This window comes from Homo sapiens, chromosome 2, assembly GCF_000001405.40.
Source record: "Homo sapiens chromosome 2, GRCh38.p14 Primary Assembly".
Lineage (NCBI taxonomy): Eukaryota > Metazoa > Chordata > Mammalia > Primates > Hominidae > Homo > Homo sapiens.
Genome location: NC_000002.12, coordinates 142,288,852 through 142,307,249, shown reverse-complemented (window position 1 = coordinate 142,307,249; position 18,398 = coordinate 142,288,852). Strand labels below are relative to the sequence as shown.

At 35.8% G+C, this 18,398-nt stretch overlaps 1 long non-coding RNA gene across 1 annotated transcript in view; it reads right to left on the bottom strand.

Moving 5' to 3' along the window:
- The window catches only part of LOC105373651 (uncharacterized), a 42,737-nt gene extending 34,497 nt beyond the window's left edge, over positions 1-8,240 (bottom strand). The window contains exon 1 of the long non-coding RNA XR_923388.1: positions 7,957-8,240. This is a non-coding gene — a long non-coding RNA (uncharacterized LOC105373651). The remainder of the gene's footprint in view (positions 1-7,956) is intronic.
- Between the last annotated feature and the right edge of the window lie 10,158 nt (positions 8,241-18,398).

Sequence of the window (18,398 nt, the reverse complement as noted above, 5' to 3'; positions counted from 1 at the left end):
TGAATATCACAAAATGAAAGGACAGATAATCTTAGTGCTAACTTCAGTTTTCTGGAAAAGAAATGCCAATTTCCTCATTTTATTTAAATCTCCACTCTTGGTCCATGTCATGTGATCAGGTGCTCATAAAATACTAATGTGGCTTTGGTTTTCCCCATTTGGAGAGCTAAGGTCAATCGAGAATCATCCTGAACAGAACAAATACTTCAAAATGATTCACTGTACCTTCTTTGGCTCAATTATTCAAGTAGTAGCCTCTGTACCTAAAATATCCTCTTCTTTCCAAAGCTTTCTCAAAATATATTTGTAATAAAACTTATCTGATAATGTTTCTCCATCCAGAGGAGGAGCCTTGGCACAGTTAATGGAGTCACTTTGGCTTTCTCACTCAGCTGACCAATGTGGATCACACAATGCCCATTAGATCATGGAAACTGGTGTCAATTAGAACAGATTAAAATATTCACACCAAAGTCTTGCTTGGATTAGAAAAATCTGTTTTTACCACTTACCACATATGTCCTATTTCCAGTCTATGCAACACTTGCATAGGAGCCCTAAATAGTTATCATTTGATTGTTAAATCCTTTTTTCCTGTTCCTTGTATAACTTTCTTGTTGCTATTTGCCATAGAAATAAATGCCATCTGTTTATATACTTCAACCTCTTGAGAATAGGGGGAATAGCCAAAGAATTTTGCCTAAATACTTGTAAACTTCCAAATGGAAACCCTTAATAATTATCATTTAATGGCAATGATCATCAAGAAGATGATAAAAAATAAAATGAAACAATATATTAATCAGTAACAGAATATAATCAGTAACTGAGAATAAAAATAAACATTCTCATTCCAAGAACATTATGCCTAAAGACAAAGCATCTGCTTCCTGTGGCTTAAAATCCTCAAATCACTTCAAGGAAAGTTGAAATATTTAGTGAATCATCATGCCAAAGCAGTAGGTCCATTATATAGTACAGGCAGTAAAATAATCTAAGAGCAAACATTATTTAACTCTTCATTGTAAGAAAAACTGGTTTTATGTTAGGTCTCAGGCTAACAAAGTACACAAATATTCCACCAGAAAAATCTTTTGTAAAAATCTGATCTTGAATAAAAGACCTTTGTATATATGTGACAAGAAACTCATTGACTAAACAAATTACATGTGAATTGCCTAAAGACATATTTACAAAAAAGAATATAAAACCCAGCATGTGTGATGACTAGTACAAAAAATCATTGTGGAGAAATTTTATCATAAAATATAGTTTGGAAGAATATATATATATGTGTGTGCGTGTGTGTGTGTGTGTGTGTGTGTGTATACATATACACACACATATCCATCTATCAAAAGAGAAATATTAATACAAATGTAGAGATAGAGTGTATATATAACTCGAGACATGTTGATAAACTTAATTTTAACTTACATGTGGTCAGTGTTAACCTACAATGATGAGAAGGTTAAGTCAAGTGATATTTTGAAAAATACTTTGATTAAAGTCAAGGTACCAAAGAGGCAGAGGGTAATTCATGGTCACAATTAGGATAGAAAGAATACATTAAACCTGAAGGAATAAATGAGCTAGTGATTGCAAGCTTACCAGGAGCAGTTTTAAGGTAGGTTTTACATAGGAAGAATGTTAGTGTCTGGGATGTTCCTCCTTTGCCTTAAGTATCCCAAGTCTGTTAAGCTAGATCTTTACCTATATATAATCAGTTATATCCTCCTCCTACCATAAAGGCTCAATATCTTTAGCAAAGGTATTTCCTCTGGACAGAATGAATGTCTCTTTGGGAGCCTCCCTGCATCAGTACTGGTCTCATCAGAGTCTGTTTTTCCTTGATTATGTTGACTAGAAAAGAGTAATGTAGTCAATTATTCTTTTCCTGGGTTTCAACTGCCTTGCTGCCCCCACCTCCAGAACACAGGACTTGATAACTGACCTTTAAACACATGTATCACCTCTTAGGTGAAGTATCTGTAACAGACTTTAAAACTCCAAATTCTCTTTTGTCTCTCTGCAGTAGGCCATCTACCAAAGTTGTTTCGTTTCACTATTGGCCTTCAATTTGTCCATGATTTCATTTTGTGATAATTTCAACTAGAAGTTTACATGTAAACTAAACATGAGTAAGGGAACATACTTGAAAGCAGGAAGAACACAGAAAAACTATGGACAGAGTCTCCAGTACTACTCTTAGAAAGATCAAGCTTTAAAATGTCTGTGTAGAAAAAAAGAAAAATGCAAACTAAGTTGAAAATTCATTGTTACCTCCTAATATTAAATTTCTCCTCTGAGATTGATCTGTATTTTCAGTAAGTAATTTCACACATGTATCACAATTTACTGTGATTCTCTAATAACCACCACATGGTGCAAAGAGTAATTTTTTGCCAGCCTCATTTCATATTGGTCTCCTAAAGAGAGAACACATGGTGGCAGGTCTGGGTGTGAGGCAACACAGGGTTTTCAGAGCCTAACAACAGTGATGGAGAAACCATGAAGGCTAAAAGAGCTATAAGAGACATTTGCCGTGAACACCTTAAGACCAAACTTTATGAATGCATTATAAAGTGAGGCCAATTTTTAAATGAAAAAAGAAAGGGTTCAGAAACAACAGCTTTCATTTTGTGGATTGCTTTACACATGAAGATGAGTTAACATTAACAGAAGAAAGAAAAGTTCTGCTTAAGCACAAAGATTCAAGACACTTCAAGAAATCAAAAAACCGAGATAGTATTTTTCAAAATCAGGCTAATGTGAATACGTGGCTGCTTTGGGAATGATATGTAGAAAAGCGTGTAGTCATGCTTTTCTAGGGAAACCAAGAGGGCTGGGGCTGCTCTCTATTTCCATCATCTAGTTCCAAATTGTGGCTGTTAACCAAGCAACTTTGGTAGAAAGTCGAAGGAGAAGAAACTTTACATTCCATTAGGGAATAATATCTAAGAGCATGATTTTAGCAAAAAACACTGAATTTATGTTGAGGGTCATGGAGTTACTGTAGGAAGGAATTCATGTCAAATTCCTAACAGGGGGCTCTCAGGGCATGGAAATATGTCTGTTGTCATATCTGCTTAATGAATTCTTCAGTACAAACCTGGGCCACAGTTTAGTGACCACATTCATGAACATGCTTCCAATCTGGAGACAATTATGAGAAGTTTGGTAGATACTCCTAGAAACCCAAAACCTCAGGATGGGTGGGAAAGTTGAAGGAGAAAGAGAAGAAGAAGATCTCCTGGTAGTCTGGTATCAGGTGACAATCTGAAAATGAGAAGTTCTCCCTATTGGACCTCCAAAAATGAAAGTTGGGAAATGATGGAGGGACCTGAGGGCTGAACTCTTTCAACATCAAAATAACTGAAGCTCTCCATTCCCTAGGGAAGAGGCAAGATCCATGGAGGAATACAGCAGATATGGCTAGGTGCTCATCTGATGATGCTTATATCCACTGTGAGGGGTTAGAACATCTCTGATTATGGAAGAAGTGTGGCAGAGGAGTAGGCTGAGAAGCCTGTCTCCTGGATTATCTTCAAATTTTAAACTGCTGTATATAACCTATGACATTTCCAGAGACATCTACCAGCATCTCTTTGCCCCTCTCACTGGGTTTCTGTAGTGATTATACATGGTATTTCAGCTGGCTGTGATTCCATGATATGAGAAACTATTGACCTGGAGGAAAGGACAAGAAGATTTCTTCTTACCTTGGGCTCCAGGATAAGCCTGAAAGTCAGGCCATTAAAGGGCCATCAGAGAAAAATCCCTCCAAATCCTTCATAGCGAACAAAAAAGAGGGAGTGTTCATCCATGAGTCCAAAGATACCAATCTGCAACTGTTAATAATCTTCATCTCATGTACCAACAGGAGACAGAAATAATTTCCAATGAGCTAAAACTAGTTTCTCAGGAAGGCACTATAATATGTGTGTGTGTGTGTGTGTGTGTGTGTGTGTGTGTGTGTGTGTGTATAAAATGTATTACCAGAGTTTTCATGGTACTAACAAAATAATGCAGTAGACTGGAGGTACATTAACCCTTTCAATGAGACTGCCTTTGGCTGGAGGTGTAAAATATCAGAAGAAAGAAATTCAGGAGGGTTCAGGGCATGAAATGTTGGCAGTGCACAATTCCATGCTTTCTGCAATGCTCAAAATCTCTGGATAGTTTAAATACATAAAATGTATGGCTTAGTTGAATTTTTTATTGTATCTTGTGAAATCAAGAAGCTCATACTGCATTTTGTGGAACAGAATTTGGGCAATAGGTATGAAGCAAAGGGTAGGAAGAAGAGGCAATGTAGGAAGGTTAGAGATGTAGTAAAATCTTAATCAATATCTGAGTTTAACAAGCCATGAAATTGGGAGTTTCAGCCAATGTTTTAGCCATAATTTGAAGAATAGAGATATCAAGTAAAATGTGGGATACATATAACTCACCTTTGTATTCTAAATGTCCTCTTGATTTGTATTATGACCTTCCAAGAACTAAAATATGGTTTTAGCATACCCAGTGTTCATGATTCTGGGGAATATCTAGTTTTCCATGCTCCTTACTATGGTTCTCAATCTTAGCCACATTAGAATTGACTTGGAAATTATTTTAAAATTCTTGATGTCTGAGCCTTTCTCCAAAACATTTATTTAATCTTGTTGTGTGGTATCTGATAAATGATTTTTTTCAAGTTTTCATATAATTATAGAGCCCAGCCAGGGTTGAAAACCATTGACCTAGAAGCACTGCTATTTCCAACTAGCAGTTATACAGCCTTAACCTTTACCCTAGATAAATTAGGGCAGCATTTTAGTAGTCTCCGAAATTTTATTCTTGTATGCTATCATTCATTCATGTATTTATTTATCAATTCAACTATTAGTGACTACATTGCTTTTAGGTAGCAATATTGTGTTGATACCGAAAATACAGTCGTATAAGTCTGTTTGAATTGCTATAACAAAATACTTGAGGCTGGGCAATTTATAAAGAAAAGAGGTTTATTTGGCTCACAGTTCTGCAGGCTGAACAAGAAAAATAGCTCTGGCATCTGCTTCTGGTGAGGACCTCAGGCTTCTTTCACTCATGTTGGAAGGTGAAGGGGAGCTGTCATGTACAGAGATTATAGGGCAAGAGAAAAAGCAAGAAGAGAGGGGGTAGGAGGAGCCAGGCTCTTTTTTAACAACCAGCTCTCCCAGGAACTAATAGAGTGAGAACTCATGAAAGAATGGCACCAAGTCATTCACGAGGAATCAGCTCCCATGACCCAAATATCTCCCTCTAGGTACCCACATCATCTAACACTGGGGATCAGATTTCAACATTAGATTTGTAGGGGCCAAACATCCAAACTATAGCAGCAGTAATGAACAAAAATCTTACCACCAGACTTAGTAGAAATGATAGTCTTGTGGAATAAAAATATGGATTAAATAGTCACTAAAATAAAGGTATAATGGTAAATTGTAACACATGTTATCACAGAAAGGTAACATTTTGATTGCATTTTAACAAGGGCCCCTGATTTAGATATTGAAGTTATGTGGATAATCTCTGGAAAAGTTTTAGAGCAGAGGCCTAAAGGATAAGATATGAGTGATTTTAAAAGACCTAGAAGGTAAAGGGACTCTAAGCAGAAGAATAATTTTGTGCAAAACTCTGGGATAAGAAAGAGAAGCCATATATTTGAAGAAATGAAAGAAAATCACTCTGTTGGAAGGAGAGAAAATTATAAAGGTTTAGTAAGGTATAGCCCTGGAGAGGTAGCAAATGTCAGCTAAAGCAGGGCTTGGAGACCTTGCTAAGTATTTAGATTTTATAGTGTGATATACGTGTGTGTGTGTGTTTCTTATTTTGTTTTTATTGTCAATTGTATATTCAGTAGACCACCACTGAAAATGTTTTAAGTAGAGGAAGCTAGTCTCTAGTTTGCAAATTCAAAGATGATTCTGACATTCTGGCTGGCTGCTAGAGAGCGATTTCAAGGAGGGCAAGATTAGAAGTAAGATCGGTTCACAGATAATTGCACTAGTTCAAGTAAAATATTATAATTATGTGAGTCAAAGGGAAAGAGTTGCAAGCAAATGGGTGAAATTGAGCTATAGTTTGAAAAAAATTCAACGTGTTTTAGGGGACTAGATAGATCATGATAGAAAAAGATAAATTGTATGGAATCCTGACTCTTCCACTGATCTGTGAGACATGAGGTGAGTTATTTAACCTCTCTATGCCTCAATACTCACGGATAGAATGAGAATTATGTTAGTTCTTTCCTAATGCATATGCAAATATTATATAGCAGTCAACTTCTGATCTTCAAAACACTACCAAAAAAATATTTTGATCAAACAAAACTCAGTTTAGTAGACTTATCACAGTAGGGAGAATATCACCTTGACCAATCTTAGTATTTTCTCAGAACAAGGTTGCCTGAAGAGGATATTTATATAATTTCAGGGCCTGAATTGAGTGATTTTTAGGTGAGTTGTGCAAGTTGAGAACCAAGTTGGGATTGCACAATGTGTGTGACATAACAGCTTTGGACTGACCAGCCTAACAAGGAAGAGGGCTAACCTTGATCAACCAACCAGTGGTTGTTCTTGAAATGTTAACTATTTTGTTTAATTTGGTCTTATCTTCCAGGAGCAAGAGCTAGTTTTTGTTGTTTTCTCAGTATTTTTAAACACATGTGTGGAAAACTCTTGCTATTCCAGAATAGTTTAACAGGTAATGTTTTCAAGTTCCTGTAAGATGTTAATATTCCGAATTCAAGAATGAGAAATTGGAATTCAGAAATTCTTGGGAATTCTTTTTTTTTTTTTTTTTTTTTTTTTTGAGATGGAGTCTCACTGTGTTGCCCAGCCTGGAGTGCAGTGGTGCAATCTTGGCTCACTGTAACCTCCATCTACAGGGTTCAAGCGATTCTCCTGCCTCAGCCTCCTGAGCAGCTGGGATTAGAGGTGTGTGCCACCACACCCGGCTAAATTTTTTGTAGTGTTAGTAGAAATGGGGTTTCACCATGTTGGTCAGGCTGGTCTCGAAGTCCTGACCTTGTGATCTGCCTGCCTCAGCCTCGCAAAGTGCTGGGATTACAGGCATAAGCCACCACGCCCTCCTGGGAATTCTTAAAAACATTACTATACCTTGTTTTTCATGAAAATTTATTTACATGTTTTACATAATTATGTTATTATAATAAACTGAATTATTTCTGTGATTAGGCTATACTAAAATTTTCATGTAATTTTTAAGAATAATGAAAGTGCATGCTCTAATCTTAAACCAGTATATTATGACAAGATTAAATATTTCAATAACATCCAAATTGATCTCTAACTTGATAGAGATATTTCATAAAAGAAGAAATTATTAAAACAAAGTAAATGCCAAATAATAATGTTAAGATTTAAAAAGCAAATATTTAATATTTAAATGGTATTCTTAAACTGAAATTTTGGAGCACACAAGCATTGTTATCTTCAAGATAGGTCTTAGAGTGTATGTTGCTTCATGTAAACTTGTTTTTTAACTATGAAAATATTTTTTGTGCTTGCCTAAATTTGGCTTGCTGTGGAAATCAATATTGCTTTTGTTACTTTGGATTTTATATCTGTTTTGGGTTCATATCAGAGTAGTCTCCGACAATATAATCATCAGCTTCTCTTTGCATCTCTTCTTAAGGCATTTACAAATAACTGTAGGCTAAAGCAAGTGTTTAAACCCAAAAAATCACCGGTGTATACTTTCAGGTAGTATTCAAATAACCTAACATTCTGTTCTCTCAGCAAAGATAATGGCATAATCACATAATCACATTTCTAAATTGTCAATTTAAGGACTTATATTTCTTCTAAAACTTGTTACTTCCTGGAGTACCACAGATAGGATTTGTATAAAATATACAATGTAGACTTATTAATATTTATTTTATTTATAAGAAGGACTCACCATTAGCAGCAGACAGGACCATGAAAACACACTTATGACACAGCAACAACTATGAGCACACCTGAGTGATTAGATCATCAACATCTCTTCCCAGAAATGTCCAGCCTTATTCTCCAACTCTGAGTGTTAGTGCACCCAGCTCTTGCTTTCAATGTGACATCAATGGGTTTTGTCAAACCACTTTCTACTTCTTTTAATTGTAGTAGCAGAATTATAGTAGTTTTATAGTTTTCCTAATTTCTTGACAGGTTTTGTTTGGGATATGAGATTTGGAAAAACATTTAAATTTCCAGACACACACACACACACACACACACACACACACACACACACACACAAATGGAATGTGTGCTTGGAAACACCAGCCACAGGAAAGTATCTTGGCTCCCATTGTTGTTTAAAACAAGATTATGTTTGTTTTGGTTCTAGAAGCTGATGACATCAAGCACTTAAAACATCACTTGGCAAACATTAAATTATCAAACATTTTAGTAATTATTATAATTGGAGCATCATTTTGATGAAGTTGTCATTCACTGAGAGATGGATCTGGTTGGGAAAAGAGAGAAGAGGTAATGAGTTCAGTTTGGGGTGTTAAGTTTAAAAAGCCTGTGGGGTAGTCAAGTGCAGAAATCAAGAAGGTAGTTGGGTCTGTGTCTAATAAAAGTCATGTGGAGGTATACACAATATTGGTATGTAGACAATGTGTAAAGCCATGAATAAGGATAAGGTCACATACACAGAAAGTAGACTGTGAGAAGAGAAGAAAACTAGGCTCAAGTACTGACTGGGATACCTGATTTTCATGCATTCTCTGAACTGCACTTTTCTATTCACCTTATTTTATCCTCTTAGTAAGCGGGCTGCGTCTTAGTTTTCTCAGTAGCAGGTTATCTGCTCTTGAAAAATTGCTTAGCTTAATGTCCCAATACCCTGCCTAACACTTCCTATACATTCTCCCTAAGCCAGAAGTTCCCCCTCTATTGCTAATTTGCTGAGTTTTTTTTTTTTTTTATGAACAGGTGTTGAATTGTGTCAAATATATTTTTCTGCATCTACTCTCATGATCATGTGATTTTCGTTCTTTAGTCTGTTGATGCAATGAATTATATTAGTTGATTTTCAAATGTTGAACCAGCCTTGCAACCTGGGATAAATCTCATTTGGTCATGGTGTATAGTTATTTTTATACATTGTTGGATTTGGTTTGCTAATATTTTGTTGAGGATTTTTGCATATATCTTCATAAAATATATTGTTCTGTAGCTTTTTTTTTCTTGCAATGTCTGATTTTGTTAGTAAGCTAATGCTAGCCTCATAGAATGAGTTAGGAAGTATTCTCTCTGCTTCTATCATCTTCTGGAAGAAATTGTGGACAATTGTTTCTTCTTTAAATGTTCAGTGCAATTTACCAACAAACCCATCTGGTTGTGGTGCTTTCTGTTTTAGGAAGTTATTAATTATCAGTTTAGTTTATTTAGTAGAAATAAGCCTATTCAGATTGTCTATTTCTTCTTGTGTGAGTTTTGACAGATTGTGATTTTCAAGATATTGGTCCATTTCTTCTAGATTATCACATTTATGGGAATCAAATACATAGTATTCCTTCCAAATTTCTAACTTACATCATTTTACTTCTCTGAAGACTTTCTCTGATAGATCTAAGAAGGATTGTTGATTTTTCTGTCTTTTGAGCCTTTTACTTGTTGATAGGATGAAGTAACGATTTCTAAGCTCTTCACATGCCATATTAGAAGCCAGAAGTGAATAATTATTTTCTTAGAGAAGACATTGAACCACCAAGGAATATATGATGCCTTTTGTTTTATCTTTTATTTTAAATATTTCCTATACTTAAGCTTTATTGGTTATTAAGAAATATCATAGGATGGGACCAGTAATTTATCTAAGTTTCACTGTGAATGCATGGCGCAATTTTGTACAAATTGCAGTATATCCCTGTGCCTTTTATCTGAAAATTAAGTGCAATAATATTGGCCCAGCTGCCTCAATCTTGTTGGTAGAACAACAACCACAAAAAAGTGAATGTGCCTTACAAATTAAAATTATTAAATGAATTAAATGTTTTATTGACATGAGTAATTAATGGATATATTTACATGAACAAAATACTCAATTTTTCTTCCCTATTCATGTCTCCTAAACTTAATAAAATACATAATTACCATTTATTTTAAAAAAGAATTAACATTTTCAAGAAGTTTGAGTGTTATAGAGTGAATTTTTCTGTTTCTACCAAAATTCATATGTCGAAGCCCTAATCCCCACTGTGACTGTATTTGGAGATAAGGCCTTATAAGGAAGTAATGAAGGATAAATGAAGTCATAAAATATGGGGCCCTGATCTGATAGCATTAGTATCCTTGCAAGAAGAAATATAAGAGAGCATTCTTTCTCTTTCCCTGTGTGTCATGGTAGCACACAGCAAGAAGGTGGCTGTCTGCAAGTCAGAAGGAGAGTCCTCACTAAAAGCAAAACTCAACTGGACCTTGATCTGAGACTTCCAGCCTCCCAAACTGTGAGAAATAACTTGCTGTTGTTTAAGCCACCTAGCCTGTCATCTTTTGGTATGGCAGCCAGAGCTGACTAATATACTGAATAATTTTGTATTAGATGATTGTTCTCTGTACTCCCCTAATTTCGTGTAACATTATTATATTTACACCAGATCAAAATTAGACTTACATTTCATTTCCCACCACTTGACTGTAATCTTTGAGGGCTAGAGCTATATCATATTTAAGTTTGAATGTCCATTAGTAAGTATATTGTTTGGCATACTAGGTGCTCAGTAAATATTGGTTGCACAAGTAAATGTTGCATAAGAACTCTAGGTCTTCTATCATGAAAGAGTGTGTATGTGTGTTTACGATTTTGATAACTCTGATCAACTCTAAGAGTTAGTTGTTTTGTTGGTGGTGCTGCTGATTTGCTCGTTTAATTATATAGTTTTGTTGATAATGATTTGAAATAATCCACACTTCATGGTGAGTTGAGTTTGTTGCTATAAAATATATCCTTATATCCTAAATCATTTTTCTTCAATAGATTTCTCTTTTCTAATAAATAAACCAGGTAATATGAAAAGCACTGATTTCCAAATAGGTAACTACACCATCTTAAATACAAAGTCAAGAGTCTAATTTGACATGAAGAGGAGAAGATAAAGAGACAGTGCTTGGACATTCATGGATAAATCACAAAGCAGGAGAATCCTGGAAAACTATTGTATACACAAGAGAGACATGAGAAAAATAAGAAAGTAATGCTGCATGAATACAACAACCAACAAAAGGACACATTAGAATATAAAAAAGATGAGTTCTCACTTTTAAAAAATAGGTTGGCTTTAGAAATAGTGTTATTCCTCATACTGGAAAATTGCAGTTTTCAAGCCAGGATTATATTATGAGGATCAGAAACGCTGTCAATATATCTCATAGAAAGAAAAAGAGAGAGAGAGGGAGGGAGAGAGAGAAAAGAAAGAAAGAGAGAGAAAGAAAGAGAGAAAAGAAAGAAAGAAGAGAGAGAGAAAGGAAAGAAGGAAGGAAGGAAAGAAGGAAGGAAGGCAGGCAGGCAGGAAGGGTGGAAGGGAGGAAGAAAAGGAGAAAGAAAGGGAGAAGGAGAAAGAAAAGTATGTAGGGGCGTGTGTGTCTGTGTGTACACGCACACATGCATGATGTCTGGGGGCAAAGGAATGCATGAGAAAACCAGAAGACAATGCAAAGGCTCCTTATTCCAACGTTAGTTTTCAATGGCTTCAGTGAAGCTATTCTTGATGATTGTGCTCGATTAGTCACATGAAGAGCCAAAAGCAAGGTAATTTATATCCTGTAACTCGTTAACTAGTGAAAACATTTAAAAGAGGAAATCTTTATTTAAAATTATGTTTCCTAATCTGGTATTCAACTGACCCTGACTCTTCTGCTTGATGGTTGTAGTAGTATTGTGAAAAAAAAAATTAAAGTTAAATAACTTTAGATGTAATTGGATTAACAAAGGAAAACAAGTTTATTTAGCATAGTGAATCTCTGAGAGAGGGGATGTGTTGTTAATGTGCTGTGATTATTAGACAATGGAAACCCACCAAAGCACAGCATCTATTAACTCTCATTAGAAAGTGTTACGTTAAAATCTCATCATATTCCATAATTTCTGTTGAGAGTTGAGATATTTTAGGAATGATTTTTGAGCAACATCATTTTCATCAAAACTCAATAATGAAAACCTTTGGCCCAGTAGCAATGAACACACTAAACACCCAGATATTGATTTCTAAATACCACTTTCCAATAAAAGGAACCAGGGCTCCTTGGAGAACTGATTGATTCCAGGTCTGTGGCAGGAAAAATACAAGAAAAGCCTACAGTATCTTGCAGTGCCAGAAAGGATATGGAAAATCAAAGTAAATAAACAAAATGACGAGAAACATATCAAAAGGGCACAGAAGTCAGCCTGAAAGAGTCCCCAATGGTCAAAGTTGAAACAACTGAAAATAAAATAAATAATGATGGCATTGATTACATTCCAAAAAATAAAATAATATTTATAAGTTAATAAAATAAATGAACAAAGAAAGAGCAACAGCTCTTCTTTATTGAAGAATTCCAGTTAACACATATAAAAGAAATGAGAGAAATATAAAATCACCATTAAACCTCATAGTAATATTTACAACAAATGAGGTCATTCATTAGATAATAAAATGAGTGGGTGAAAGTTTAAGCATAAACAAGATATTTGTATTGTCTCAAAATATCTCTCCCAAAGCTTTTAGTAATTACAAACAGAAAAACAGTGACTACAGCAGAGGATTCTAAAAGACACTGCTTCAGGCAAATGATTGAGATTAACATCACCATTAACGCATATGAACATTATGTACCACTTAATACAATGCTTTTGGAAAAAACAGCACATCATCTCTGTGGTATACTTTCCAGTAATCCATAACCTACATTTAAGAGCAAGAAAACATCAGTAAAACCCAAACTGAGGCGAATTCTACAAAAAAACAAATTAACCAGTACTCTTCAAAAGTATCAAGATCACAAAATATGAGAAGAAACTAATATTTGTTACAGAATGAGGGAGATCAAGGAGACAAAGAATTAAATGGAATATGGGATTCTGAATTAAATCTTTGATCAGAAAAAAAAGACATTATTTGAAAAACCAGTGAAATCTGAATAAGTTCTGGACTTTATTTTACAATACTGTAACAAGATTAATTTTTAAATTTCAACATATGTCCTATGGTTTTTAAAGATGTTAACAAACAGGGAAAGATGGGATATGGGTTCAGGAAAATTCTCTTTGCACTATTTTTGCAACTCCCCTGTAAGTCTACAATTTTTTTCAAAAATTGATGCAAAATATAATAATACGTTTTTACAATAAAAATCTGAAAGTATAATAAATAATTAACTAAGTAAAGACTTTGATATGACAGTATTTAGACATGGCTAACAACAGCTAGATTCTAGCATGATCACTCCTAAAGCTCAATCTGTTACCTGTATTAAATACTGCTATTGTAAATACATAATGGGGAGAGTTTTACTTTGCTTCAGACTAATAAAAATATTTTCTTTGCCTTTTTCAATTCTGACTTCTTTTTCTTTGACATTCAAAATGCATTGTTCACCTCACAGCAATTGTTTGTTAAGTAGATCTTCCTAAGCTCCCGAATCCAACGAGAAGAGAATGAAAAATCCATAGGATATTATGTATGATTCCTCTTGGTTGTAATTTGCCAAGTTAAGAATTAATATATCAACATAATAAAATGTTATAGCTTTTTGGTTCAAGCAAAAACTATAAGAAAATTGAAGATATCTGAGTACATGTTACCATACTATGCGTGAAATTGCCTATTTAGAAAGAGAAATAGTTAAGTGATAATTGTTAAGATGTTAAAATCTCTGAATGGAAATTGATATGTCAGCAAAGCCAAAATTTCCAGTTGGCTTATCAATAACATTGTAATTTCCTTTGGGCTCCACTGTACTTTCTACTGTCTTCTGAATAAATTTCATGTCTTCTACCAATGCAGGAAGCTGACTTTCTCTAGGAGGATTCAATGGCTGGCTAGCTAGTCTAATGCTCATGTCCACATTTTGTTCTGGTGAACTGAGTTTAAAATGATCAGCAAGGTCGGGTGCAGTGGTTCACGCCTGTAATCTCAGCACTTTGGGAGGCTGAGGCAAGTGGATCACCTGAGGTCAGGAGTGCAAGACCAGCCTGGCCAATGAGGTGAAACCATGACTCTACTAAAAAAAAAAAAAAAAAAAAAAAACCAAAATTAGCTGACATGGTGGTGCTTGCCTGTAGTCTCAGTTATTCAGGGGCCTGAGACAGGAGAATCACTTGATCCCAGGAAACAGAGGCTGCAGTGAGCAGAGATCACACCACTGCACTCCAGCCTGGGTGACACAGTGAGACTCTGTCTCAAAAAATAAAAATTAAAAAAAAAAAAATAAAATGACCAACAAGAGTGGTGAGGGAAAAGAGAAGACATGAGAATCACTGACAAGTCTGTGTAAGAACTGATGGAGAATGAGCCCTGCTAAGTAAATGATCCTATCTCATATGGCTCTTAGAAGGAAGCTTAACGACATATTGCGTGCATGCATTTGAATCTTGGGTATTGTCTTAGTGTATTGCATCGCTATAAAAGAATACCTGGGGCAGGGTAATTTATAAAGAAAGGAGGTTTATTTGGCTCATAGTTCTGCAGGATGTACAAGAAACATGGCACCAGCATCTGCTTCTGCTGAGGGCTTCAGGAAGCTTCCACGCATGGCAGAAGGGAAAGGGGGGCAAACATCAGGTGGCCAGGGAGAAGGAAAAAGAGAGAGAGGGGGGAGGGGTGCCATGCTCTTTTAAACAGCCAGCTATCAGGTGATCTAATGGAGGGAGTACTCACTCATTACTGTGGGATGGGGACAAGGGGGCAGCAAGTCATTCATGAGGGATCTGCCTCCATGACCAAAGCACCTCCCACTAGGCCCCACCTTCAACATTAGGGATCAAGTTTCAACATGAGATTTGGAGGGAACAAATATCCAAATTATGCCTGGTATCTTCAGTTCCTGCTAACTGCCTCTATGAATCACTGACAGATCTAGAAAGAAGAATTCAACTAAATCTCAGGATAATCCCTGAGTCATGATACCCTAGGAATAGTCCTGGGGGAAGTTTTAGATATTGGTTAAAGGGTGGAACGTCTGAGTACAAAAGGAGCTTTTCGGGTATACCTGGGCTTTCTCTAAAGCTGCAACATTAGCTCATTTTACTCTCAGCCTTCCAGGAACTCTCATCCTGGAGTGTACATCGTTTGACTTAAAAATAATTGAAGACTTTCCATCTTCTTTCTCTCTTCTTGATACAAATCATCTTTTAGTTTTATAGTAGTAAGTGATGTAACTGTGGACCTTTCAGTCTTAAACAGAGGGTTTCCTTTTTTCTAGAGTCACCTGAAATCCAAGATATTAATTACTTGTAATTTTGCTGATTTATAATGGTAATCCTAAGGATTGTATAGTGAGATACAATGATGAATGAGATACTTAATGAATACGTTAAGCCAGTTAATCAGTATTCTCATCTAAACATGAGAATGTTAATCTTATTCATTCCCCTGGGTGTATATAATAAAGGGAAAGGAAATAGAAGGTAAATAAACTCTATAGAGGTAACCACATATTTTAAGTGATTTTTTAAAAATTCCCCAAGTCAACCCAAATGAATTTATTGGAACTATTACACTTCATTGGGAAGAATACATCTACTGAGTGGATGGATCCTAGCTTCACAATCAGCCTTCATTTTTCAAGCTATTATTACTTTATCTTCTGCTAAAGTACATGACAAGGAGATATGTTTATAATCACCTCTTGGGAGCTTAAAAATTCAGTTTCTTATTCCTATTCCCAAATGCCTTTATCAAGTTTCTGCTTCTATAATTATCATGGGCAACTTCAGAGCCAGATGCATAATTGCTTACTTAAGGTAAAAGAGGCCTGTGCTGGAGCCCTATGTCACGTTCTGCCTACCTTTTTATTAGGGTCAGGCTTGTCCAACATGTTTTGCGTTTTAGCAGTGTTTGGCCCAGTGCCTGTTTTGTACTCAGCTGCAATCATCCTTAATATTTCTTTTGGCACTTGTGCTTGGGAGGACTCAGCAGCACTCCAGTCCTATGTTTCATTGGTGCTTACCCTAGTGCCTGCCTATCAGGCTTTTCTTAGCCTTGGAGTACTGCATTCATCCTTTGAAAGACTGCCTTGGCTTTTTGACTTTGATTAATCTGCATCGCAATTCTTGTTGGTTGGTCTATAAATTTAAATTCTTCTGTTCCTTTCCCTTCAGTTAATAAAGGGGAATCAATTTAACTGCCACATAGCACAACATTTCCTATTCTTCATGCTGTAAGATTTCTTTTCTGTTAGAGAGGAAATTTGGTATTCAACACCAAATCCTCGCCATTGTTCTCAGTCAATAGCTGATCAAAATTATATTCATATTTTAAATTAATATTGATATTCATTGATAAGTAGTAAACTTATCAAACTTCATAGAAAACTTCTTTAGACTTACCTATCCAAACAATAATAAAAAAAAAAAACTATGGCAATTTGTTGGATGGATGTTGAGTTATCACAGGAAACCTAAGAAGAGAAAATGCAGCTGGAATTAGAAACAATTAGGGGCTTGGCAATCTCTGTCATTCATTCCCTCTTCCTATCCCTCCTGCATATCCCATGCCACTCCACAGTCAGATACTCTGTGTATTTACTTCAGGTATGCTTCTCTTCCTCTAAAAGCCTTTCATTTTCTGCTTTGGAGTACACATAGCCACCTCAGCCTCAACTTCCATGGCCTCTTAATTCCTCTCAAATACACCCTGAGTGCCAGAGCGCCAATTCCAAACTCTCTGCTGAAAGACTCTAATTGGCTTAGGTGTTCATCCTTGGTCCCATTAGCAGTGGCTATGAGCCAGGCACCTTCCTCATCAGAAAGGGTATGTAAGGAGACTTCAAGAGAAGAGGACCAAATGCCCAGCTAACAACTACAGGTATAACTGATTGATTTATGACATTTAGAGACTCCAGCTTTTCATTGCACCGAAAGGTGTAAATTTACATGTCCTTATGTTGGTTTCGCATGCCACTGTCTCCCTCCAACAAAAATGATATTAGAGTATTTGAATGTGATTGGTACGTTTAAGTCTTTCCTGATGAGATTTCTTCTCCTGTTACAGGAACTCATTTCTAAGCAAAAATTTCTCTTTCCCTTTCTCAAAACATTTACTGACATTCATTAGGCTAAGATCATTTTCAAGATGGCTTTCACTAGACTTAACACTATAAGACTACTTTTCTAGTTGCATACATGGTCAGTGATGTTACATACATGCTTCCCTAATTCAGTAGTTATCAAGCCTCAGCAGGCATGAGAATCACCTGGAGGACTTATAAGAGCACAGATTTTGGGGCTCCACTGTTAGAGTTTCTAATTTAGCAGGTACAGGCAGGGCCTGATAAGTTGTATTTCTAGTAAGTTCCCAGATGGTACTGATGTTTTTGGTTCTAAAATGACACTTTGGCCAGATGCAATGGCGCATGCCTATAATCTCAACATTTTTTGAGGTTGAGATGAGAGAATCCTGGCTTGAGGCCAGGATTTCAAGATCAGCCTGGGCAACATAGTGAGCCCCATCTCTACAAAATATTGTGGGTTTTGTTTTGTTTTGTTTGTTTGTTTGTTTTTAATGAACTGGATGTGGTGGCACATGCCTGTAGTCCTAGCTACTCAGGAGGCTGAGGCAGGAGGATTGCTTGAGCCCAGGATTTCAAAGTTGCAGTGAGCCATGATCAAGCTACTGAACTCCAGCCTGGGCAACACAGCAAGACCCTATGTCTAAAAAAAAAAAAAGAAATAAAAATAAATAGATAAAATCACACTTTGAGAACCTCTATCCTAATTCATCTTTATTCTCATTGCAAGGGAAAATAGCTGGGAAAAGATCTTATGTTTTATCTTCAGGGGTCCAGGTGTGAGGAATATATTCTCTTGTTCCCCAGCCTACACACTATGTCCAAGTTCTAAAATCCACAGTCTCTTAAAATGGGAAGGAAGGACCTTTAAGATTGTGAAGTCCTGCCTTTCCTAAACATGCTCAAAATATGTTAATGTGCTTTTCCACTTCCATGTACCATCTCCACTCTTATGTTCCTAATGTCTTTATCTTACTTACAAGGGAAAAATTATATCACTCTCTAAGATGGAAAGGAAATATTTTTTTGCTTTAGTTGAAGGTAGCTATAAAAATAAATTTAAAATGTTACTTTATTTTTAAAAGTAATGAGTATAAGTGATACCAAATCAAATAGTTTCAAAAATACATGTGCAAAAATAAA